At 46.5% G+C, this 25,502-nt stretch overlaps 1 protein-coding gene, 1 long non-coding RNA gene, 2 other non-coding genes and 1 pseudogene across 4 annotated transcripts, besides 6 other annotated features; 4 read left to right on the top strand and 1 right to left on the bottom strand.

Moving 5' to 3' along the window:
* Window positions 1–6,156: 6,156 nt before the first annotated feature.
* LOC124903856 (putative protein FAM231BP) lies at window positions 6,157–6,834 on the bottom strand. Its single transcript, XM_047436898.1, has one exon. The coding sequence runs from the start codon at window positions 6,752–6,754 to the stop codon at window positions 6,245–6,247; it is 510 nt and encodes a 169-aa protein (XP_047292854.1). The 5' UTR covers window positions 6,755–6,834; the 3' UTR covers window positions 6,157–6,244.
* Window positions 8,680–9,526: an enhancer, noted in NCBI's record as "H3K27ac-H3K4me1 hESC enhancer chr1:16862789-16863635 (GRCh37/hg19 assembly coordinates)". NCBI's record gives its function as "activates a minimal SCP1, AML or CMV promoter by ChIP-STARR-seq in naive H9 embryonic stem cells {active_cell/tissue: H9 hESC(naive)}" and the evidence as "EXISTENCE:reporter gene assay evidence [ECO:0000049][PMID:30033119]".
* On the top strand, window positions 10,168–11,929 carry LINC01783 (long intergenic non-protein coding RNA 1783). Its single transcript, NR_135764.1, has 2 exons — window positions 10,168–11,394; window positions 11,611–11,929. It is a non-coding gene; the product is annotated as a long intergenic non-protein coding RNA 1783 (long non-coding RNA).
* Window positions 10,441–11,197: an enhancer, noted in NCBI's record as "H3K4me1 hESC enhancer chr1:16861118-16861874 (GRCh37/hg19 assembly coordinates)". NCBI's record gives its function as "activates a minimal SCP1, AML or CMV promoter by ChIP-STARR-seq in naive H9 embryonic stem cells {active_cell/tissue: H9 hESC(naive)}" and the evidence as "EXISTENCE:reporter gene assay evidence [ECO:0000049][PMID:30033119]".
* TRE-TTC4-1 (tRNA-Glu (anticodon TTC) 4-1) lies at window positions 10,470–10,541 on the top strand. Its single transcript has one exon. It is a non-coding gene; the product is annotated as a tRNA-Glu (tRNA).
* Window positions 10,893–10,942: an enhancer, noted in NCBI's record as "active region_267". NCBI's record gives its function as "activates an Ori minimal core promoter by ATAC-STARR-seq in GM12878 lymphoblastoid cells {active_cell/tissue: GM12878}" and the evidence as "EXISTENCE:reporter gene assay evidence [ECO:0000049][PMID:35858748]".
* Window positions 11,198–11,955: an enhancer, noted in NCBI's record as "H3K4me1 hESC enhancer chr1:16860360-16861117 (GRCh37/hg19 assembly coordinates)". NCBI's record gives its function as "activates a minimal SCP1, AML or CMV promoter by ChIP-STARR-seq in naive H9 embryonic stem cells {active_cell/tissue: H9 hESC(naive)}" and the evidence as "EXISTENCE:reporter gene assay evidence [ECO:0000049][PMID:30033119]".
* Window positions 11,596–11,739, top strand: RNU1-6P (RNA, U1 small nuclear 6, pseudogene; annotated as a pseudogene).
* Window positions 12,515–13,040: an enhancer, noted in NCBI's record as "H3K27ac-H3K4me1 hESC enhancer chr1:16859275-16859800 (GRCh37/hg19 assembly coordinates)". NCBI's record gives its function as "activates a minimal SCP1, AML or CMV promoter by ChIP-STARR-seq in primed H9 embryonic stem cells {active_cell/tissue: H9 hESC(primed)}" and the evidence as "EXISTENCE:reporter gene assay evidence [ECO:0000049][PMID:30033119]".
* Window positions 13,041–13,566: an enhancer, noted in NCBI's record as "H3K27ac-H3K4me1 hESC enhancer chr1:16858749-16859274 (GRCh37/hg19 assembly coordinates)". NCBI's record gives its function as "activates a minimal SCP1, AML or CMV promoter by ChIP-STARR-seq in primed H9 embryonic stem cells {active_cell/tissue: H9 hESC(primed)}" and the evidence as "EXISTENCE:reporter gene assay evidence [ECO:0000049][PMID:30033119]".
* On the top strand, window positions 25,162–25,235 carry TRN-GTT5-1 (tRNA-Asn (anticodon GTT) 5-1). Its single transcript has one exon. It is a non-coding gene; the product is annotated as a tRNA-Asn (tRNA).
* Window positions 25,236–25,502: the final 267 nt, after the last annotated feature.

Here is a 25,502-nt window from a genome sequence, read left to right as displayed (position 1 = left end):
TCACGAAAGTAGCGGCAGGAGACATTCAGGAGACTAACTCAGGACCCCATGCAGTTGTTGGACTCAAACAGCTTAGCAAGCTGACAAGCATGAAGTGTTTCCGGTGAGTCACTGCAGTTTTCATACTGGTACCTGTGACTTTCATCTATTCACTGGAAGGATCCCTGCAAACCCGAAGAACCATCAGGTTCCTGATTCGCGTGCTGGACCTTGGGCTTACCGTTGAGCCACTATGGAGAGGATCAAGAAATGACGCTCTTGGAAGGAGAGAAGCTGCGGGCAGGACAGTCACCTCAGAGGTCCAAGAGGCGTCAGCGGCCCAAAGAAAGGGGTGGTGTGTGGGCAAGAATCTGCGTGGAGATGAGGGGAGCGGCGGAGACTGGTCCTTGCGCAGAGGCGGCCAGTAGACCCTCAGGGCTGTACCCCAGACACCGTGAACCGAATTTGCTCACATCGTCAGCGACCGCGGCCTCCGCGTGTTTTGTGGGCCCATCGGTGTTCCCCGAGAGATTCCGTGTGTCTGGCAATGTGTGTCAACAGGTGTTGGCCTGAAATTTGGCCGGGCACGGTGGCTCACGCCTGTAATCCCAGCACTTTGTGAGGCCGAGGCGGATGGATCGCTTGAGGTCAAGAGTTCAAGACCAGCCTGGCTAACATGGGAAAATCCCGTCTCTACTAAAAATACAAAAATTAGCCAAATGTGGTGGCATGCACCTGCTATTCCGGCTACTTGGGAGGCTGAGGCAGGAGAATCGCTTGAACTCAGGAGGCGGAGGTTGCAGTGAGCCAAGATCGCGCTACTGCAGTCCAGCCTGGGCGACAGAGCGAGACTCCGTCAAAAAAGAAAGAAAAAAAAAAAGCAGCGAAAGAAGGCAGAGATGTCAATGGGACAAAGAGACCTCCCAGGAGGCTTGTTGTAGAGGCAGTGGTCGGATCCTGAGAGATGAGATTTTTTTTTTAATTATGTAGCAGAATGGGGAGAGAAAGGGAGAAGCGCACGAAAGACAGAAAAGCACGAAAATCTGCGGACGTCCAACAATAAAGCAGATAAAATAGTGTGAGTGTTTTTACATTCAAAACATAGAAGTGCAATGCTTGTCAGCAGGCTTTGTGGTCGTGTAGTAGTTAATACTTGTAGTTGTGGTTGCCACAACCTGGGTTCTAATCTGAGTCACAGTAGTGTTTTCTAACCTGCAACTGTGGCTAATAGACCTGTCGTTTGCTTTGCCTTTAATCCTAGCAGCCTCCAGAGAGCAGAGTAAACCTCTGGCCCTGAAGGGCGCCAGCTTCTGGAGTTTAGCCCACAGCGCAGAAACTAGGGGGCGGCCTGGCCGATAGGAAAACTTGGACATGCTCTTTGTCTCACAATTGAGCAGGAAAAATTCCCGTAGGTGAAGATGCCGCCTCTCAAGGGCCCTTTGTCTGTAGCTTCCACTGATGAAATAATGCGGTTATAGTCTTTTCTGGTAGAGAAAACGGCTGTATCAGTGGAATTTTTTAAAAACACAAAACGAGGACGAGTTTTTAATGAGCTGACAATAAAATCTAAACTAGTTGTCATGGTCTGCACAGGCTTGCCTCCATTCCCCATCTGCTAATTTTTATGAGAACAGTAAATTATTACTATTATTATTGTTTTTGAGACGTAGTCTTGTTCTGTCACCCAGGCTGGAGTGCCGTGGCTCAATCTCGGCTCACTGCAACCTGTGTCTCCCAGGTTCAAGCAATGAGAACAGTAAAGAAGCTACAGTTCACATAAAGTGCACAAATCTTTAGTGCAATTTGTTTAGTTTTGATCAATGTTATCACCACCCAGCTCAAGTTATAGAAAATTGCCATCATCTGAGAAAGGCCTGTTAGAGCCCCTGTCCAGGTGATTCCCACCCTGTGTCCTCTTAGTTATCACTATTCTGATGTCTATTCCCACAGGTTACAATTGCCTGTTCTTAAAGTTCACATGAATGAATGTACATATGTTTTGTGTCTGGCCTTTTTTCTGCAGTTACATTCATTATACTCATGAGATATATCCATGTAGTTTCATAGATCACTTCTCAATTTTGGGGTTATTGAATTCTTGTGCTGAATATTCTTATAACAGTCTTTGTGTGCACTTGAGATTCATGGAAGTCCTTCAATTGCTGGGTCATGACCTGAGTATAAGTTTAACATCAGTATAAATTGCCAGTCTTCTAGAATGTTTTTCACCAGCGATGACAGTTGAAGTGGCACCAAATTCTTGTCAGCATTTGGTGTACTAACTTTGTTAAATGTAGCTATGCTCTCAGACCAATCTGGCCAACATGGCGAAACCCTGTCTCTACTCAAAATACAAAAATTAGCCGGGCATGGTGGCATGCACCTGTAGTCCCAGCTACTCCAGAGGGGGATGTTGCGGTGAGTCAAGATCGCACCATTGCACTCCAGCTTGGGTGACAGAATGAGACCCTGTCTCAGAAAAAAAAAAAAAAAAGTAGCCATACACTGGTGAGTAGTTAGTGCTATCTCAGTGTGGAATTAATTTGTATTTGCCTAATGAGCAATCCTATGAAGCATACTTTCTTGTGGCTTCCAGCATATAAGAAACTCTCCTTTGCAAAGGACTATTCAAATATTTTGCCCTATTTTATTTGGCTTAGCTCTATATTACTGATTTACAAAAGTTCTCTTGTATATTCAAGAATTGAGTCTTTTTTTTGACTTTTTTTATTATACTTTAAGTTTTAGGGTACATGTGCACAACATGCAGGTTTGTTACATATGTATACATGTGCCATGTTGGTGTGCTGCACCCATTAACTCGTCATTTACATTAGGTATATCTCCTAATGCTATCCCTCCCCCTCCCCCCACCCCACAACAGGCCCTGGTGTGTGATGTTCCCCTTCCTGTGTCCAAGTGTTCTCATTGTTCAATTCCCACCTATGAGTGAGAACATGCAGTTCTTGGTTTTTCGTCCTTGCGATAGTTTGCTGAGAACGATGGTTTCCAGCTTCATCCGTGTCCCTACAAAGGACATGAACTCATCAATTTTTATGGCTGCATAGTATTCCATGGTGTATATGTGCCACATTTTCTTCATCTAGTCTATCATTGTTGGACATTTGGGTTGGTTCCAAGTCTATGCTATTGTGAATAGTGCCGCAATAAACATACGTGTGCATGTGTCTTTATAGCAGCATGATTTATAATCCTTTGGCATTTATAATCATTTATAATAATCATTTATTTATAATCATATAAATCAAATAAATATATAATTTATTTATAATCATTTGGCTTTTAGCAGCATGATTTATATACCCAGTAATGGGATGGCTGCGTCAAATGGTATTTCTAGTTCTAGATCCCTGAGGAATCACCATACTGACTTCCACAACGGTTGAACTAGTTTACAGTCCCACCAACAGTGTAAAAGTGTTCCTATTTCTCCACATCCTCTCCAGCACCTGTTGCTTCCTGACTTTTTGATGATCGCCATTCTAACTGGTGTGAGATGGTATCTCATTGTGGTTTTGATTTGCATTTCCCTGATGGCCGCTGATGATGAGGATTTTTTCATGTGTCTTTTGGCTGCATAAATGTCTTCTGAGAAGTGTCTGTTCATATCCTTCGCCCACTTGTTGATGGGGTTCTTTGTTGTTTTCTTGCAAATTTGTTTGTGTTCTTTGTAGATTCTGATGAATCTACAGATGAGTAGATTGCAAAAATTTTCTCCCATTCTGTAGGTTGCCTGTTCACTGTGATGATAGTTTCTTTTGCTGCACAGAAGCTCTTAAGTTTAATTAGATCCCATTTGTCAATTTTGGCTTTTGTTGCCATTGCTTTTGCTGTTTTAGACATGAAGTCCTTGCCCATGCCTATGTCCTGAATGGTATTGCCTAGGTTTTCTTCTAGGCTTTTTATGGTTTTAGGTCTGACATTTAAGTCTTTAATCCATCTTGAATTAATTTTTGTATAAGGTGTAATGAAGGGATCCAGTTTCAGCTTTCAACATATGGCTAGCTAGTTTTCCCAGCACCATTTATTAAATAGGGAATCCTTTCCCCATTTCTTGTTTTTGTCAGGTTTGTCAAAGATCAGATAGTTGTAGATGTGTGGCATTATTTCTGAGGGCTCTGTTCTCCTCCATTGGTCTATATCTCTGTTTTGGTACCAGTACCATGCTGTTTTGGTTACTGTAGACTTGTAGTATCATTTGAAGTCAGGTAGCGTGATGCCTCCAGCTTTGTTCTTTTGGCTTAGGATTGACTTGGTGATGCGGGCTCTCTTTTGGTTCCATATGAACTTTAAAGTAGTTTTTTCCAATTCTGTGAAGAAAGTCATTGGTAGCTTGATGGGGATGGCATGGAATCTACAAATTACCTTGGGCAGTATGACCATTTTCACGATATTGATTCTTCCTACCCATGAGCATGGAATGTTCTTCCATTTGTTTGTATCCTCTTTTATTTTGTTGAGCAGTGTTTTGTAGTTCTCCTTGAAGAGGTCCTTCACATCCCTTGTAAGTTGGATTCCTAGGTATTTTATTCTCTTTGAAGCAATTGTGAATGGGAGTTCCCTCATGATTTGGCTCTCTGTTTGTCTGTTATTGGTGTATAAGAATGCTTGTGATCTTTGCACAAGAATTTTGTATCCTGAGGAGTCATTTTTAAAATAAATATATTGCAAATGACTTTTCCCAGTCAGTGAAAAGTCTGACTGAAAGCTGTCAACTGAAAAATCACACAATTTATAAATTTAGAAGGGAGATTTTATTTTTTATAAATGGTTACAGCCTGCAAGGTGGCCATTCCCACAGACTGGGAGGCATACCCTCCTGCTGAAACCGAAAAGTAGGTTTCCAGGGAGGGGAGGGGGGAACAGGGATTTATGTTGATGTGGTGGGCCACATATGCATATTCAACAGGGAATAGGAGGAGCTCTGAATATTCATGAAGGGATCCTGCTGCATGCATGCTGAGTAAACAAGCCTGTTACATGCAACCCATGTTCACTTTGGGGTGGAGATGACATTTAAATACATTATAATTAGGCCCTATGCTTCAAAAGGGGAAGTAGGGACACAAAGGCAGTCAAGTGCACAGCCTCTGTAAACCGTCCAGAACCCGTCCACAGCCAGTGCTCTCTTATCAAGGGGAAGTTACTGAAATCAGTCTCTTGTCCAATCAAAGCTGTAGTTATGGCTTGTGTAGGGAGGGCTCAGTCAGTTTATGCTAATGGGTGAGCTGCAAGTGCTTCAGCATTGCTTATCTCAAGGCCAGTGCTTGTTTAGCTAGAGGAAAAAAAGGAAGAAGAAAAAAACCTGTGGCAATTAGAACATAGTTTATTCTTTAAGTTGAGGGGTGCATGACTTAACCTTGCCTGGCATGGCCTTAGGTCTTGTTTATAATATGGTATCTTACTACTGTAAGGACTCTGTTCTGTCAGTCTTAGGATCTCTATTTTAACAATAATGCTGGTCAGTTGTGTCTAAACCACAAAGGGAGAGAGTATAAGGAGAGGTGTCTGAGCTTCCAAGTACTGGCCAGGAACTCAGTATTTAAGACTTCTCTGGGGTCTCCTTGGCAAAGAAGCCATCTGTCCAGCTAGTTGGGTGGCTTCAGATTTTAATCTTAGTTCTGAAAGCATTTAATTTGATGAAATTTTGCCATATTTTTTCTTTATTTTTAAAGCCCGTCATGTTCTATAAAAATCTTTCTACTCAGGATGTGAATGGATTCTCTTAATTTTATCTCTCTATGAGTTCCAGCGTTTCAGTTTTAATTTTTAAATTGATGACATCTAAAATTCTACTCCTAACCAAAACATTTTTGGGGGTGACTAAGGACAACTCCAAAAATCTTCCATAAATGGAAGTAAGACTTACTCCTTAAAGAACTTTCTGGGATCCTGAGCTGCGGGGCACAGTGGCTTTAGTGCACCTCTGCTCTTAAGACTATTCAGAAATTGTCTTTGTGAACCCATCAGGCTGTTTCAAAATCAGCAATTTAGGGCTTGCTTGCAACACGCAGTTAAGCAGCAGCTGTTTTTTGGATCTCATGAGTGCCTGCATGCATACTTCCCTGGGAATTTTCTAAATTTGAATTCTCATGGTATTTCAAGTGGCTTAGTTGTCTCTTTCTTTTGCCTACAGCCACATACATACCACCAAATCCTGCACTCCAAGCTTCTCCTTCCTCACCCTGAACTCCCAACCTCCAGTTAGACAATCCACATCTTCCCACACCTGCCTCAGGCTCCATCAGGCCACTGTGCCTCCCGCAGCAACCAGGCCAGGGGGAATCTGGATTCCTATTACACTTCTGAGGAAGGTGATCAGGGGGCGTGGAGGATGTGGGTGGGAAGGGGTGAGATTGAGGGCAGGAGTAGACTGTGGTCTTCTGTCTTCTACCTCGTTGGCCCAGGTGCTGCTCTTCCTCCGGTTGTCTGCTTTCAGCCCTGTGTAGGGAATCAGGTCTGCGCCCTCATCTTCCTGACTCTCATTTTCTGAGGAACCTGAATGGATGAGCCGTCGCTCTTGTCCCACACATTCTGTCCAAAAGGTGCCCTCCTCTCTACTTGCTCCGGTGCCTGCTCTCTGAGCTCTGACACTCAGGCTGGGATGCCGCCCAGTACAGAAGCTCTGCAGCCCTGCAGGGCTCTGACTGTTCCACACCAGCAGGATAAAGGCCACAGGGCATGCTGTGGTCGAAAAGCATTCAGAGGTGTGGGCTGAAGGCCTCTCTTTCCACAGTCCCTTTGAACACCCCATGGAAGTCAGCACCCCTTTGAGGAACGAGGTGGCCCAAGGCCTGGCTTCACATGCAGGCCATTGGGTCCCAGTGGGTCCTCTCTGTGCCTGGTATAGCCAACGGCTTCATGCATCTTACCCGGTTTCCTCTCCTCCACCACCCAAGCTCCTCCTCGACCCCCTTGCTCAGCTGTTCTCAGGACAGCAAGATCCCCAGCCCTTGGAAAAGCCCCATCTCCAGTGCTTGGGGAGGGAGTTGGGTTCAGGTCGTCTAACCACAGAAGGACAGAGAACCTGAGGCAGGAGGAAATCCTTTCCCTTGCTGGGTCTCTTGGCACAACCCATCCAGGGGTCTGGGTCAGGGTCCAGGTATACTCTACCCTCCTATAGGACCTGGATTTTTAGGCCCCCGAGGTTGGTCAATGTGGAGTCTTTCCCACTGTTCACCTGGGAACTGAAGGAATATCCCATGGGGCCCTCTCTTACTCATTAGAGACACCCAGAAAATACTCCATCCAGCAGAAACTGGGCGCAGTGTACCAGACCACTATAATTATAACTGCAGGGTGTGGAGGTCAGACACGTTTTGTGGCTATTTTCTCTCTGTCTGTGACTTGCTTGCCTTTTCACTTTCTTAGTGGTATCTTTTGATGAGAAGGTGTGGCTAATGTTGATGAAGTCTCATTTATCATGTCTTTCTTATATATGTATTTTTTGTGTCCTGCTTGTTGGTAGGGTGATCTTTGCCTACCAACAAGTCACAAACTATCCTTGAAATGCTTTATATCTTTAACTTTTAAGTTTTGGTGTGTAATGCGGCTGAAATTACTTTTGTGTGTAGTGTGAGGGAGAATAACATTGTTGGTCTCCCCACATCCATATAAAAGTCCATTAATTGAAATGATTTATTTTCTTTTATTGAACTGCTTTTATTGAAAACCCATTTATTGACCGTATAGCTGTGGATCAGTTTCAAGTCTCTTAACTCAGTCTGTTTATCTATTTGTCACTCCTGATGCCTTGTCTGTAATAGCTTATAGTAAGCCTTAAAGTCAGATAGTACAAGTCCTTGTTCTTTTTTACACATTGCAATAATTTTTGAAATAGGTAATAACTCATAAAACCATCACACACATCAGGATATGCTGTCACTTCATCCCTTTCTGACATGGTTTGGCCGTGCCCTCACCCAAATCTCAACTTGAATTGTATCTCCCAGAATTCCCATGTGTTGTGGGAGGGACCTAGGAGGAGGTAATTGAATCATGGGGGTGGGTCTTTCCTGTGCTATTCTCCTGACAGTGAATAAGTCTCACTATCTGCTGGGTTTATCAGGGGTTTCTGCTTTGGCTTCTTCCTCATTTTCTCTTGCTGCTGCCTTGTAAGAAGTGCCTTTTGCCTCCCGCCATGATTCTGAGGCCTCCCCAGTCATATGGAAATGTAAGTCCAATTAAACCTCTTTTTCGTCCTGGACTATGTTATGTATTTGTCAGCGGCGTGAAAACGGACTAATACACTCTCATTTCTGAGTGGAACACATGCTGTCACTCACATATGCTGGTTGCTGACTTGTGACGGAAGATTCTCTATTGTACCCTCTGGGGACAATACATCTCCAGTTGCCTGCGGGGAGGATGAACATGCAAAAAATCCACAACACTCAGCACAGAGTCTGGATTTAGTCCCATTAGTCTGAATGGGACTAATGCCCTTATAAAAGGGACCTCGGGGAGCTCTCTCGCCCTCTTTCTGCCCCCTGAGGATACAATGAGGAGGTGGCAGTCTACAACCAGAACAAAAGGCCCTCACCATAAACCTACCATGTCGGCACCTTGATCTCGGACTTCCAACCTCCGGAACTGTGAGAAATCAATTTCTGTTGTGAATCAGCCACCCAGTTTATGTATGGTACGGTGTTAGAGAAGCCCGAACTAAGACACAGATGGAATCCCATGGAGAGTCTCTAATTTGCTAAGCTGGTCATCAGGCGGGATGTTGCCAGTTAGAAACAGGAAAAGCTGACATTTTGTGTATATGAAAGAAGATAGTGGACAGGCCCATTGTGTCGGCTTTGTCCGCCTTGGCAAACTGGAGACGGAAACTCGATTCACCATCGCCAGCCACGGGAGGACTGGGAGGACCTCCAGAGGAGGTTAGGTCGACTTCATGGTAACTTTAGATCCTGAAACCTCCCAGGATTTTTCTTGTCTTCCCTTTGATCTCTCTTCCGCCTACCCAACAGGACAGGACTCGACGCCTTTCTTTCCTGGCAGCAAGAGGTCCGTTGCGGACAAGACCAAAGTGAGCAGCTGGTTTCCCCTAAGTGTCCTTCCGGGCCTGGGCATCTCTGGAGCTCAGGCTGACCCGAGACCTAACTCCCGGCCAGTGGGACCAGCAGGAGCCTGGAAAAGCGCGCCCACCGGGGTGGAGGTTGGTCGCCGGGGGTCGAGAACCGCAGTCAAACCCTCTTCTTCCCCGGGCACCGCGCACCTGCCCCCGGGGATGCCGAAGGAAGTGGCCCATAAAGTTTCTCTGCAACCGAAAGAGGCCTGAAGCTCCAGGAGGGCCGAGAGGAGCCTCGTTGAGCGAACCCAGCCGTCTGCCTGGCTGGCCCTGGTCAACAGGCTCGGAAGAGGCCGATTTGGAGGACAGAACGGAAGAAAAGACCTAAAGGTTTCGAATCTCATGATGTAGAGATGTTAAAAGCCTCCAATCCTAAGGTCTGACTGTGCGGGGGAGCGAGGGGGTCTCAAGCTGGATCGACCCCTGAGCCTTCATCTGGAGAGTCCTCTGCACAAGCTCAGACAGCAGGACAACGCGCATCAGTGGTTCTCAAGAGGGGGCAACTTTGCCCTTACACGCCTCTCACCTCCACGCTGGGACACTAGGTCACGAATGGGGGAAGCGGGGAGGGAGAATGCTAACCCCCTGGCATGTATCTAGTCAGCGGAGGCGACGGCTGCTGCTAAACACCTTACAATCCACGGGAGGGCCCCTCCCCTACCCCGAAGTAGCCATTCCGCAGAGGTGGAGAGACTCGCGTGTAGCTCAATGCCCACGCACTTAGCCGATGGGAAATTACGAATTGATGACCAGTTGGCTCTTGGATCTGAGGAAAAAACTCCAGAGTCAGAGGGAACTCTCGAAGTTTTGCCCGGAGCAAACGGAAGGGTGGCGTTGCCATCGCCTAAGATGGGAAAATGGCAGGTGTCACAGGTTGCAGGGGAAGGTCGGAGACCAGCTGAGGGCCCCGGAGCCTTCCTGGAAAGAGTTTCCCATCCAGCCCGTCTCGGTTTCCGCATCCGTCTGATTCCTTATGACGTTGAGGGTGCTGGCGTCTGGGTCCTTTATGATGCAGAGGGTGCCCCCGTCTCACCCCGGGCGCCTCCGCGCTCCCGCCTCCTCCTGGCAACCTGGTGCGCGGCTCCGGACCTGGCGACGCACGACCGACTGGTCACTTGCTGCCACCTCGCAAAGGCGCATCTCTAGTCCAGTGGTGAGCTGCGGCCGGGTCGCTGCAACTCGCTCCAGGCCTTCGGACTCGTGGCCTCGGTGTCCCTCGCGGAGCCCTCGGTGTGTCGCTTGCAGGCTCTTTTTTTGAAGAAAGCAGGGAGGGAATGGCCTTGTGAGAGACTCCAGGAGCAAAGAGCGACCCTCACAAGGCCCAAGTCCTCCCAGAGCTCAGGGAAGCTGTCGCTTCTGACAGAAGAAGGGAGAGAAAGCTCCCTCCTGTGTGTCCCTGGTGGTCTAGTGGCTAGGATTCGGCGCTTTCACCGCCGCGGCCCGGGTTCGATTCCCGGTCAGGGAATTGTTTTACACTGGCCGCCCTCCCGCAGGAATCTTCCTTCACTACGCTGTCAGCCGGCCTGCTCCAAGGGCCAGAAGCAGAACAGTCTCCGCAGCGGGGTTAAAGCCGGGCGAAGGAGGGCAAGTGCTTGTGGACCACCTCTCACGACACACCGTTCCTATTTGTCTCCGTGTCCGTCATCCGCGGGAGCAGCTTTAGAGAGCGACTGAGCTTCTCGCTCAGGTGTACACAGCCCGGCAGAGATGCCAGCCCCCGTGGAGCTGCACCCAATAAGCCCACCTTCTTTCCCGTCGCCACCCCGGAGACGCCCATCGGGCTGAGCTGCGAATAACTAAGAGAGAGGCCAAGCCAAGTCGTGGCGTTTGTGGCAGCCCCGGACACGGGCACCAGCCAGTCAGCGGAGCCTCCTCACCTCCGTTGCCAGCGAAGGCGCTCGTTAGGCCTTGGGAAGAGGCGACCGGAGGCGATGCCCGCGAATTTGTTAGGGGGGTAAGCGGCGGGTGAGGTCCTCGAGGGCGGTCCCGTTTGCTGATTGAGCGGTAGAGGGAGGCGATGTTCGCTGACCCAACAAGGACAGCAGGTGGAGTAGGCACAGACGGAAAACTGCTGCCGGTGCCCTAAGCAGAAGGCAGGTGGAAAAATCAGCACTAGGACGTCGAAGCGATTGTACCACAGTCAAATCCCACGACGTCTACACTCTACCAAGCACTTGCGCACGCTCCCCCTTTTCCATTCAGTACTCCCAAGAGGGGTTCGGAAGAACCCCGAGTCCACTGTAAGCTCAGGGGAGAGCGGGAGCCAGGGAGGTGAAGTGCGCAGACTCGGCAGAGGCGGCGGGCAGAACCGCGCGGGGGTGAGAGGGCGCGGTGGCTGCGGGGCGGGAGCCGCTGCTGAGAGGCGGCCTGGGTTGTCTTGTGGGGTGACTGTCGGTGGAATCTTTGGTGGAGAGTGGTTTGGAAGAATGGCGAGGGGCGGCAGTGGGGAGGGTGGTGACCCTGAGCGACCGGCCAGGGCGAGGAGGCTGTGCTGTCCCTGCAAGCCATGTGCTCATTTCCACTTTACCTGGCAGGGGAGAGACCGTGGTCACGAAGGGGGTTCTCCCAGAGTGAAGCTTCTTCATCTCACTCTAGAGTTGCTGATCCCTGTGATTTCCTCCATGTGGGAAATGGTGTTTGTGGTAGAAGAGGCTGCGCTCTTTACCTGACATAACGGGGTTCAAGACTGACAACGCCTCACGCCCATCCAAAAACGTTTACATGGCTTCCTTGTCTCTTTTTTTTTTTCTGTCCTAAAGTCGCCTTATCTTCACATCCCCTCTTTTTTTTCTTCCACACTCGAGAGTGTCTCTCTCATTAAAAGCTCCACCAAATATTTGAAATATCTCAACCAGAAAGACTGCAATAAATACATTATTTCATTCGTGGAAGGTACAGACCAGCTAGATTGAGAGTTGCTTGATATTTTCTGCTAAACGGTGAGGCATAGAGCACTTGGAAGGTTTCTCTTTGGGCCACTGTTTGTGTACTCTTGGGTTTCCTTCTTTTCCCCAGACAGTATGGCGCTGTGGGGCCAGGGGTAAACCCTGCTTTCCGGCTTTCTGGCTGCAGATAAAGGCCTCAGCTGGTGCAGGAATCAAAAGCAAACCAAAAGACACGTGGGTTCGCCCCAGTGGGTCCAAGATAGAGTCTGACTGTACCAGGATTCGGATTAGAACAGAGGTTGCTGCAGGCACAACGCAGACTACTAACCACTAGAGAATCCCAAGGCGCCCCACACCTACTGCCCGTCGTTTTGCTTCCCCACCCCTCTATTATTTATTTATATATTTTTTTGAGAGACAGAATTTCGCTTTGTCGCCCAGGCTGGAGGGCAGCGGCACGATCTCGGCTCACTGCTACCTCCGCCTCTTAGGTTCAAGCGATTCTCCTGCCTCAGCCTCCTAAGTAGCTGAGACTACAAACGTGCACCACCACGCCCAGCTAATTTTTGTATTTGTGGTAGAGACGAGCTTACACCATGTTGGCCCGGCTGGTCTCGAACTCCTGACTTCAAGTGAGTGATCCACCCACCTCGGCCTCCCAAAGTGCTGGGATTACAGGCGTGAGCCACCGCCCCTGGTCCCCCGATTTTTTTTATTAATGTAAAAACATTATGCGATTTTTACTTCTTTATTCTTGGGCAGCTACAGGTTCTTGTGATTTTCTCTCACATCTTCTCCCCATTTCCTCCTCTCCGATCTGATACATGTCCCATCTTCTCTGCATCCAGCCGGTGCCCTCTGCACGGGCATCCTGGGCTGTCCCATTGTCTAGTCCTGGTCTCCCCTGCTTCTCCCTCCTCCTTTTCACGTTTTCCCTTTTGACTCCCCTGCCTCTTTCCCGCTCCCGCCCCACCGACCCCATCTACTGAAGCCGAGTTGAGTGAAGGGAGAGCAAGCGGAACAGATGATTGCCTGAAGGCGGCGCAAAAGAACAGAAAGAGCTACCATGAGAGACGTCGGGGAGTTCAGCTTCCCTTGGGCCCTACTTGGCTCAGGCTGGGGTCGCAGATCCAGGCATTTCCAGAGGCACTGGCTTCTGAAGCAGGCGAGGGTGAACGCAGGGTGAAGGCCATTCGGCCGCCCTTCTGGCTTCAGAGTCACGCAATGCACGCGTTTCTAACGTGCAACAACACGATTAGTCGACTCAGCCTCTCCGGTTTTCTGAAGCTTTGTAGTCTGCACAGTTGTCCCGCAGAAAGCAAATGGCAACTCCTAGGGTTTAGTGATTGCTTAATCTATATAGAGATGAAAGCAAGCGATTGAGGTTGTCTCTGTGGTGCAATCGGTTAGCGCGTTCGGCTGTTAACCATAAGGTTGGTGGTTACAGACCACCCAGGGACGTGATTTTAAACGTTGGTTGTGACCAGGCGCAGTGCCTCATGCCTATTAATCCCAACGCTTTGAAAGGCTGAAGTAGGGGAAGCCTCCACTGAGCTCAGAAGTTCAAGACCAATGAGAATCCCACCTCATTTAAAAAAAAAATGCAGTTGTATCTATCTCCTCAGACCCATCAATGTATTTAAAAGTGAAAGACTGTTCCCTTGTGTCTTGTGCATCCCATGAGGACAGACAGCAGAAGGTCCCCCTCCGAGCCTCCTAGAAAATGAGATCTCTGCAGAACAAACTAGCTTGTATGTACGGGAAACAGAAAGTATTTGAAGAAACAAACTTCAAAAATTCTGCCTTGCTTTCCACAAAAATTAACCCATCACAGTCTGCCTTCAAGTGGCATCATACCTCTTCACATGACTCCTCCCCCTGCCTTTATGCTATTGTCATGCATTTTACTTTACACCTGTTATAAACCTTACAATCCATCTCTATTACTTTTGTTTCAAGAGTCAGATGTGTTTTTGTTTGTTTGTTTGTTTGTTTGTTTGTTTGTTTTTGCTTTTTTGTTGCTGGTGGTGGTGTTTTTAAGACGAGTCTTACTCTATCGGACAGGCTGGAGTGCAGTGGCACAGTCTTGGCTCACTGCAACCTCTGCTTTCCGGGTTCGAGCGATTCTCCTGACTCAGACTCCTGAGTAGCAGAGATTACAGGCTTGCGCCACCATATATGACTAATTTTTGAATTTTTCGTAGAGAGGAAGGTTCACCATATTGGCCAGGCTGGTCTCGAACTCCTGACCTCAAGTGATCCGCCTTCCTTGGCCTCCCAAAGTGCCGGGATTCCAGGCGTGAGCCATCGTGCCCAGCTAAACAGTCAGATGTTAAAATTATATATTTGCCTATGTAGATGTCATTTCTAGTGTCTTTTTTTTTTTCATCCACATTTTCATCTGGTGTCAGTTTCCTTCTGCCTGGAGGACTCCTTTAACTTGTCTATTAGGTGTCTTAAACTTGCACTATCATTCACTGATGCTCTGTTCATTTAAAAAAAAAAACTTGTTGGCCGGGTGCGGTGGCTCACGCCTGTAATCCCAGCACTTTGGGAGGCCGAGGTGGGTAGATCAGGAGGTCAGGAGATAGAGACCATCCTGGCTAACACGGTGAAACCCCGTCTCTACTAAAAATACAAAAAAATTAGCTGGCTGTGGTGGCGGGCGCCTGTAGTCCCAGCTACTCAGGAGGCTGAGGCGGAAGAATGGTGTGAACCCAGGAGGCGGAGCTTGGAACCTGTCAAAAGGCATTCTTAGCCTTAAAAGAAAAGCCAGGGACATCCCTTGCCTCAGGACTCTCGAACTTAGAAAAACCTTTCACCCTCTATGTGGATGAATAACAAGGGACAGCTTCGAATGTTCTAACTCAAAGGCTGAGGAATTGCTTTGGACCAGTGGCTTATTTCTCTAAACAGCTAGACCAGGTGGCAGCTAGGTGACCAAGAAGCTTGAGATCTGTGACTACCATCACTCTATCGTTAGACGAAACCAGTAAGTTTACCTTGGGACAACAATTACATGCCATACCACCCCACCCCCACCCCCACCCCCTGCCACCCCATGAAGTACAGTACAGAGGGTCCTAGAGGCAAAAGTACACCAATGGCTAACAGGGGGCCAGTTACTTAAATATCAGACCCTTCTGCTTGACACCCCAGATGTTACCCTGAAAGTGTCCTGATTTTTAAACCCTGCTACTCTGTTGCTGCACCTCACGTCTCAAGAAACAGATCCCAAACTCATTGACTCCTGTGTGGAAACCACGGAAGAGCTCTACTCTAGAAGGCCCAACCTTGAAGACAAGCTCTTGTCTAACCCAAATGTTGAGTGGTTTAGAGATGGAAATAGCTATATTCATGAGGGAGTAAGAAAGGAAGCTTAGCCAACAAGAAGTTTTTGAGGCCAAGGGTTTACCTTCTCAGACTTCTGTTCAAAAAGCAGAATTAGCTGCTCTAATTAGGGCCTTCCAACCATGAAAAGACTTAAGCTGGACACGGTGGCTCACGCCTGTAATCCCAGCACTTTGGGAGGCCAAGGTGGGTGGATCACCTGAGGTTGGGAGTTCTATACCGGCCTAGCCAACATGGCGAAACCCCGTCTCTACTAAAAATACAAAAATTAGCTGGGTGTGGTGGGGGTCGCCTGTAATCCCAGCTACTTGGGAGGCTGGGGCATGAGAATCCCTGAGTTTGCAGTGAGCTGAGATTGCAGTGAGCTGAGATCATGCCACTGCACTCCAGCCTGGGCGACACAGCAAGACTCCGTTTCAAAAAAAGAAAAAAAAAGAACAAAACCTCAAGAGTCAATGTGTTGACTGACTCTAAATATGGGTTCCTGGTGCTCCATGCTCATGCAGCCATAGGGAAGGAAAGGGGACTATCAAGAGCCAAGGGATCCCCCACACAACTTTACTCAGATCTTGGAACTTTTAGATGCTGTCCAACTCCCAAAGAAATAACAATTACTCACCGCAGGGGACACCAGAAGGGAGACACTTTTATTATTAGAGGAAATTCCCTGGTGGAAAGAGCAGCTAAGGCCACAGCTAAGGAAACCCTGGTATTTCAGGCTGCTGCGCTACTACCAGGTACTCCATCCGTGTCAGTGACACCATAATATACCCCTAAGGAAATTAAAGGGACTGAGTAAAAGGCTTCCAGGGAGACCCATCTGGATGGTTGCTAGAAAAGAACAAACTCTATTCCTGAGGCTGACAGATGGGAAATAATTAAACATTTTCATGATTCCTCACATTTGGGACAGGATTTTCCATTTAAATTAGTTTCCTAAATATTCTTGCGGAAGGGACTGTTCCAAACTATAAAAAGGGTTACCACTCAGGAAGCCACCCCATACCCCGATCCCTGCTTAAACCTGTACAACACCAAGGAACATACCATGGTGAAGACTGGCAGACAGACTTAAACCAGATGCCACCTTACAGGGGACTACAAGATTTGCTAGTATTTATAGACACTTTCACCAGGTGGATAGAAGCTTTCCCCACAAGGACAGGAAAAGTATTGGAAGTGTCTAAATTCTTAAAGAAATCATTCCAAGATTTGGATTACCAAAAGGTTTGCAAGGTGACAACTGACCTCACTTTACAGCTAAGGTGACCCAGTGAGGTCATGCCTCAGCCTTAGGCATTACCTATCTTCACTCCTCATGGAGATCTCAGTCTTCAAATAACATAGAAAGCCAATCGCGACATTAGCAAAACTCTTTCAGTTTGGGGGCTTGCCTGCCCTGCGTCACTATCATTGTTTCCTTGGGTTTCCCAGGAATGTACATGTGTCAGACTGCCGCCCTGCTTATAGATCTGTTTCCCTGCAAGGAAACAGGAATATGTTGCCTGTGGCTTCCAGAGTTGGAGATACATGTAGTTGCACCCCTGAGGGCTAACATTTAATTTTGGAATCAAGTGATGCAATCAGACTGGTTGTTATCATTCTGTGGTATATATTTAGTGAACACATTCATGATTGAGTTTCCTGCTTTTAGCTGGAGCAAGAAAGTTTTATAATTGTGATTTGTATGAAAAAATCATAGGCAAGGGAATGGGTGTAAAATAAACTTTATTGTCAGAGGTTTCTACAGGCTCATCCTTCAAGGAAAACGGACGTATGCTGAAGAGCTGATAAACTGTCTACAGCAGTGTTATTCTAACCTAATCTTGATTCCAAGTTCTTGCCATTTTCCTCCAGCTGCTGTTGACTCCAGTTATATATAGGATGGGGGAAAGGGGATTATCTATGAATCTAGGCATCACTGTCTCTTGGGCCCTTATCACATTGGCAGACTGAAGGGATGTGATTTCTACAATCAAACTATCCATTTGGAGTACAAATCTGGAGTGGCTGTAGAATTCGGTTCTCAGAGATGAGCTTGCAGATTTGGACTTTCAATTGTTCTGTTGTTTTAGTTTTTCTCATCAACTGGGGAACTGTTTGTGACTAAGCTTTGTTAAAAGTAGAGAAGAGCTTTTCATAGTTCCAACATTAGTTGTTACCCGAAACAAACAAAAACACACACACACAAAATTAAACAATAATCTTTGGTGAGGTCTTGCTGATACCTGAGGCTGGAGTGAGAGCTGACTGGTGATACAGGCCAGGTGCAAACTGAGTGTAACTAAGTGGATAATCTCCAGTAGTGAACTACAGTCTAGAAGAAGATAGTAATAATAGATTGAAAAAAAAGTCTCCTGAAATGAACTAGCTGGCCTGTGGTGTAGGACACAGGACCCCACCCACCTTATGATTCTAAAAGCCTTGCTCAAAGCCACTGCAGATGAGTTCACTAGGTCTCTACCACCTCCTCAGCATCAATTGACTCTCCATAATACTCCTCTGGAGAGAAATAAGGGTCTTTCAACCTCCCAGGAAGGAATTTGCTTAGCCTCAAATGTGCACATTCAGAAATAGCTTGTCATAAGAAAGAGAGGATAGTTTGCAGAGAAATAACCCTCCTAAGTCCACATCCTGTTCCTTTTAAATAAGAGAGTGGTGCCAAGGGAAGAGCCCTAGAATGTCAAAGCCAACAGGGTGCTCAGATACCACCCAAGTACAGTTCCATCTTTGGCCATAAGGAGACAATGGTGTCAAGAGGCTAAGGCCGTATGATCTGTAGGTGAAAAACCTGGGATGAGAATCGAGGCCTCAAAACTTTTCCACTACATCACAGAGTTTAGGAGCAGTTAGAGGGAAGGCTTCAATCTGGAGAACACTAACAGGCTCTAGAGATTATTGGGTCATGGTGGCTGGGACAGAAATAAGGATTCACAGAAAGATGTTTATAGTAAATGTTCTTTTGGGATTTTGCTTGATAAAAAGGCAGAGCAAAAGTAAAAATTTATTTATTTTCTTTTTTTTTTTTAGACAGTTTCACTCTTGTTTCCCAGGCTGGAGTGCAATGGTGCAATCTCAGCTCACCACAACCTCCAGCCCCTGGGGTTCAAGCAATTCTCCTGCCTCAGCCTCCCAAGTAGGTGTGATTACAGGCATGCACCACCACGCCCAGCTAATTTTTTTTTTTTTTTTTTTTTAGTAGAGACGGGGTTCCTCCATCTTGGTCAGGCTGGTCTCAAACTCCCGACCTCAAGTGATCCTCCCAAAGTGCTGGGATTACAGGCTCCAGCCACCACACCTGGCCAAAAGGAAAAATTTTCTAATTGCAATTCTGAACCACTTAGGGGTTGTGAAATCAATATAGTCGACTGCTTACTACTGCAGGCTTTATTTAAATTCTAGGTAGGGTGGATTACACATAGTAAAAGATTTTTTAAAAACTGATCACAGGCCAGGCGCAGTGGCTCACGCCTGTAATCCCAGCACTTTGGGAGGCCGAGGCGGGTGGATCACGAGGTCAGGAGATTGAGACCATCCTGGCTAACACGGTGAAACCCCGTCTCTAATAAAAATACAAAAAAAAAAAAAAATTAGCTGGGCATGGTGGTGGGTGCCTGTAGTCCCACCTACTCAGGACGCTAAGGCAGGAGAATGGTGTGAACCCAGGAGGGTGGGGCTTGTAGTGAGCCGAGATCATTCCAATGCACTCCAGCCTGGGCAACGGAGCAAGACTCCATCTCAAAAAAAAAAAAAAAAAAAAAAAAAACTGATCACAAAGAATTGTATATTTCTCACTGCATCTTGTGGTCAGAAAAGTTTGAGAAACTGCTCTACATAGGCAAATTACAGGTTCAACCTCTCCATCTACCTCTTTATCTCTTCTCTATTTTCCATGCTATGCAGACAAGACCATGGAGAGAGGAAGGGAAATTCCATCAAAGGGTGGTGTTAAGCCTTTTCTATGAGGTAGCTGCACATTTGGGGCACTTCAATAATGGTTACTTGAGATTCTAGTAGATAGATTGTCCTTTTCATCTCTAGCCACATGGTAAAATTACTTGGGAGTGTTTTAAGACTACTAGTGGCTTCCACCCACCTGGAAGCGTTTAAATCAGAATCTCTATGTGTAGAGTCCAGACACTTGTGTTAGTTAAAACCTCACCGGGCTTTATAATATGACAGAGTGGTTTAAAGCTACGGAGTAGACCCACCCTATTTCCTACCTTTCTCTTTGTTTCTCTTTCACCATAGGCTTCTTTCCCATGAAAAAGTACAGATTTTAGTCTCTGTTTTCAGAGTCTCAAGTAAATCACTCTCTTTCTCAACTGGACTTCCAAGGCAAAGATTTCTTTCTATTTATCTATCTGCATTTTTACAAAGTTGGCCTCTGGATTCCCTTTTGCCAAACCTAATTCACCACAAAGGTGCCCCTCAAGTCAAGGAGCTGGGCTTTCATACACCTGCACCTGTCAATCATGGGTAAATATTTTGCAGGCAGGGTTGCTGGGTGCTGTGGGATTGACATAAACTCCCAGGTATTGCCAGCTCTGAGCCTCAGGCAAGCTTGTGACTAAGTGCCTCCAGTAGTCTGAGGATAGTCCTTACTCAGAAGGGTCTGTGGAAGCAAAAGCAAACATAGGCATGAGAGGGTAAAAAAAAAAAAAAAAAAAAAAAAATCTCATGTCATCTTGGCTTATACCTAACAGAACTTGTGCAAGAATGGATATTAAGGTGGGTATTGTACACCACAGAGCTTAGTAAATACCAAGTCTGGAGTTTAAGGGATAGGCTGAAGAGATTTTGCAGGTTTGTAAACATTGTTGCCAACTTGAACACACTTTTGTTTGGGTTTGGTTTTTCTCCTCAGTGGTAAGAGCTACGCACAATAGGGTAGCTAAGATATTATAATTTGAATCAATACATTTGTATTTTGCCAAGGACCAAGATGAACTATGATGATTTCAATTTTTTAGTACTTTATTTTCATCAGTTTGAAAATTAGGACTTTTGCTCTTTTTGACTTATGGCACCTTTTTGGTTTTCACACTTTCTCAAAGACCAGTAACTTAGAATCTAAATTACGATTGCTTATTCTTTCACTACTCTAGGGGAAAGTTGAGTTAATCTTGACAAAATGTATTCAATTAAAATAATTGTTCTCTTAAATCTTTTCTTTCTTTCTTTTTTTTTTTTTTTTGAGATAGAGTCTTGCTCTGTCACCCAGGCTAGTGTGCAGTGGCACAATCTTGGCTCACTGCAACCTCCGCCTCCTGGGTTCAAATGACTCTCCTGCCTCAGCCTCCCGAGTAGCTGGGCCTATAGGCGCATGCCATCACACCTGGCTAATTTTTGTATTTTTAGTAGAGTAGACCACAGATGGGTAAGGATGATGTTTGCCTCCAGCAACCCACAAATTTATGGGGACTTCCAGTCACAGACCTGTGAATCCATGATACCAGGTAGGCCATCTTGGGATTGAGCTTTCCTAGAACTAACCAGGCAACAAGAATTGAGATGACAAAAGCCTCAAAGGGATGGGACTTCTTAAGACAAACCCCAAGAGCTTGTCATGGTCAGAACAAAAAGTGTGCTGGGGTTCCCAGCCATTTTCAGACAGGCCACCTAGTATGACCTGAAAGTTACCGCCTCTTTCCAGATAGTGGAAACCAAGAGAAAGCGCTTCCACTTGGTCACAAGTCAAGCTCTCAAGGACATAAAATAAGATGAGAAGGAACCTCAACCAGTACCCCCTTTTATGACAGAATAACACATAGAGACAAAGACAAAGGAACAGACAATTTCTGGGAAGAAAGGGATTAAACAATAGGAATTGGTACCACAAAGTACCAAAAAGCACACCAGAGTCACTACACCCAAGACTAGTCACACAAATCCTTTTCTCCAATTAATCAAGATTTTGGAGAGGGAAAAGAAAGAAACAGTGATTTTTACCATCCACTTGATGAGATTCCACACAGAGAAGGAGGCCAGGAGCCTGGCTGGTAAAAAAATTCTTACCCTTATGATAGCTGATCATATCCTGGGTTCTTCACTGCAGCTTCCAGAAGAGCAGAGCTTTCCTATCCTGTTTACAGCTCCAAAACTGTAGGGGCCAATGGAAACCCTCCCTCTTAACTCTCTGAAGTTTCACTCAAAAATCAAGTCACAAAAGGCAGATTAATTGGAGAAAAGGCATAAAATGTACTAACATGTGCATGGGGAGAGTCACAGAGTGATTACCCTCCCCTACCCACAATGGGATGCAGAAGCTTATATACCATCTCGAGATAACAGAATGAATGAGGGCTCAAAGCATGGCCAAAACCAGGTGCAATCAGAGTCAGAGGTATATCCATTTATTGTGGACAAGATAAGTGATGGCAGGGAGAGAAAATGAGGCTCGGCTAGCAAAGGTGGTCTTAATATGTAAATGAAACCTTACAGGTAGCAGCTCTCAGAGAGAATAAACCCTAAAAGTTTCTTTCAGACCTTTACAGGTGTCAGACTCTCAGTTCATCTTTCCTAGATCTGGACAAGGAAAGACTTGGCTGTATCAATGCAGATTCCCTACAGATGCAAATCTCCCCAACAAAAGACAACTTTGCAGGGCTACTTCTGCAGCTGGCTTTCTGAACAGACATCTCAAAATATGTCAAAGAAATGTAGTTTGGGGTAAAATATTTTTAATTCCTTCACATCTACAGCCTGATGCACCTGCCGTTTCAACGCACCATTGTTGGTGGCAACTCCATTCTTCCCTACACTCAAGCCAAAAAACCAGGTTCTCCTTGAGGCTAGTCTTTTTCTCACAGCACACATTCAATTTGTCAGAAAACTTATGTTTCCTGTTTGGTTAATGACAGATTTTGATCTGCCCAATCTTTCTCTTTCTTGGTCTCTGAATTTTGGCAAAGAAGTCTCCTGATACAGGCAGGATCGATTCTACTGACGATTCTCAAAACTGTCAGACACTTAAGAGCCTTAATCTCAGGGTCGGGGTTTGGGCTGCCCTCGAACCTTTTCTTTGGGCCTACCCATCAAAATCAGCCTGGCCAGGCCTGTCTTCAAGGCCCAGGGGCAGGGCCAAGTCCTCCCGATGTTTCTTGAAGCTTCTCCCGCCAGGTCGGCAGCCACCCTCCCCTTCCCTCTGACCTGCAGAGAAGCTTCAGGGGGCATTTATTCAATTTGCTAGGAGCCCACGGGCGCAGGTGCACGGTGACTCTGTGGTTCCCACTGCACCCACCGCCCTCCTTTGTCCTCTCACTGTCTGCAGCGGGCAGTAATGTTCCGGGTGAGCTTGGGCTCCAAAGACACCCAGTCAAGGAGGGACCAGTAGGGAAGGCCACTGGCCCCTTATGTCCTTCGCACCCAGGGATCCGAAAAAGATCTTGAAGAAACAGAAAGGGAGAGTTGGAAGTAGATCAAAGGGAAAGAAAGAAAATCCTAGATTTCCTATCTGAAGGCACCATGAAGGGAAACTCCGTCTCCTCTGGGCCACGTCCTCACGTTGCTGGTGAACCGAGTTCCGTTCTCCATTGGAGACCAAATCAGTTGACTTTGGCTTGACTCCTAGTGAAGAAGCCCTGCTTTGTCCTCTCCTGTTTCACTCTTGGTCCTGAAGCACTTGATTGTCTCTCCCGGGCTTTCGATGGATTTCAGGGATGCAACTGAGAAATTTGTTTTTAGTACACCTACTTGAAGTAAGAATATTTTAAAGTATTTTTGCAAAGAAAAACGTTTCCTTTTGCAATGAAGACATTCAGATGTGAGGAAAATCACTAGGCTGGGGAAAGCAAATGCTGTTGAGAATGTCTCACAAACACAAATTCCACATCAGCAGGTAGGTTTGACCCTCAGGTTGGGCACATTTTAAGTGCACTGTTGGAACTTAAGATGAATCTAGGACATTCATGATTAATATTTTTAGTTTTTTAGTACAATTTAATATTTTAAATTTAAATACACATTCTGAAAATTGTATAACCAGCACAAGAAACCGGCTTTACGCCATATTTACAAACATAGGAAAGAAAGATGATATTTTAAATGACAATGCTTCATAAATGGCAACATTTTTAAAGTACCTAGAGAAAAAAAGTTAACCTAGAATTCTATGCAAAAATAAAATTTCAAAACTGTGAGTGAAATAAGAACATTGAAAAACATACGGAAGCTAAAAGAATTCACCAACCCACGCTACAAGAAATCTTGCGTCCTCCAGGCAGAAGCAAAAGGATACCAGATAAAAATGTGGTCCTACACAAAGAAACGAATATTGGAAATGGCATTTAGAAAGCATGTACTACACGTTTTCTTATAATTTAAATCTTTCAAAAAATATTTGACGTAACAAATAAAAGTAATAATAATGAATCACAAAGGTTATAGTGCATAAAGTAAAGATACATAACACTAGGATAAAGGCCAGAAAGGGAGGCATAATGACACTAGAAAGCAGACTATGATAAATTAAAGATGTATTCCGGAAACCCTAAAGCAGCCTCTGAAATAAGAAAACGGTTATAGCTAATAAAGCAACAAAGGAAAGAAAACGGAATGAAATAAAAGCTATGTAAACACTATGCTGGAACAACTACTCTCCAGGCCTCCACCCTATAGAAATACACCAGTGGCCAATGAGAGTGTACAAGAATGATGACTGCAGCATTACTTGTAATCATAAAATGATAAAACCAACGTAATTTTAAAGATATAGGAAAAGGGTTTTATTTATTTAACGGACAGACAATTGAACAAGCAAACAATGGGAGCAAGTCCTTTGCCAAAAGGAACACAGAGGGTCATGATGATGCTACTCCTCCAAGGATTTCAGAGTTCCCAGACGCCTAGTTTTCTGTCTAGTTCTTCTGGAAGATGTTATTCTTGGGGAGCAATAGGTCCTCGAGTTTGGGGCTCTTTCAGGTTCTCTCTCCATTTCCCCATTCTACTACAATAAACAAACAAACAAACAAAACAATTCTCACTTCCAGAAGATCCTGCCTGTGCCCCTTCATGAGCCTTTCAGGAGGTCTGGATGTCTGGTCCACCGCTCCCCGGCTTCTTTCCCAGCTTTTGCTTTTTCCTTTCCCAGCTCTTGACCTACCACCCCACGGCCGCACCACCGCCCAGCTGAGCCCCCGTGGCTCCACCGCGCAGAAGGTGCGCCAGAGACCCTGCCAGTTGCCCTCCCTGCCGGGTGCCGAGAAATCAACGCTTTGTAAAAAGAACTTCCCCGTGGAAAAAATCTCTTGATTTCCACTCTCAGGGCTCTTCAAAGGACTAAAAGCTAAAGGCGACGATGAATTCATTCCACAAGTCCTAGTCGTGCGCCCTGGTGAGTACCAGACCCTGCTCCCCGCGAGGGGACCCACGAGCGACCCTCACCACCATCCCTGCCCTGGTGGAGCCCCCGTGCGGAACACAGGATCCGAAGATGGCAGCGGAAGCTCCTCAGCGGCCCGGAAAGCGACTGGGCAGGGTGGGCACAGGCTCCTTCAATGGGTGAAGGCGGCGCAAAGAACGGGAAGAACCATCCCAGGAGCCCACAGGGCGTTCAGCTTCCCTTGGGGCCCCAGGCAGCTCGGGCTGGGTCGCCCACCAGGGAGTTTCTGGAAGCTTCTGCAGCAGGCGAGGGGCAGGGCGGGCGAAGGCAATTCTGCTGTTCTTCTGGCTCCAGAATCTCCTAACACGCAGGCGTCCAACGTGACCGGCGCGACTCACCGCTCTAATCTCTCTGGTTTTCCAAGGCCTTGCTCAGTGGTCCTGCCCGGTGGGCCCTGAGAATAGACGGAACGGAGGAAGTTCAGTGAGTGCGCCCTTCCTAGATGCCCAGTAGAGTTGGAAGCGCTTGTCTCTGTGGCGCAATCGGTTAGCGCGTTCGGCTGTTAACTGAAAGGTTGGTGGTTCGAGCCCACCCAGGGACGCTTATTGGAACTTTTGAAGCATTCACGCAATGTCAATCACTAGATAAATGGGGAAGATTTTATCTTCCCAAAGTCTCAAGCCACTAATTTATGACAGATCCATGTCAAGGGCCGCCCACCTCCCCGACCAGATTCTTAGCCGGCTATCTCCTGAAATGCCGGGTTTACACCTGTGTCACTAAGGAATCCTGAAACAGAGACCTAGGAACCCACTTCTGATGTGATAAAATTCTAATTCAGTCCGTTATACGCTTAAACGAGTATTTA

The sequence above is a fragment of the Homo sapiens genome, chromosome 1 (assembly GCF_000001405.40).
Source record: "Homo sapiens chromosome 1, GRCh38.p14 Primary Assembly".
NCBI lineage: Eukaryota > Metazoa > Chordata > Mammalia > Primates > Hominidae > Homo > Homo sapiens.
The sequence above is the reverse complement of the archived record's forward strand: the minus strand, read 5'-3'. Positions and strand labels throughout refer to the sequence as shown.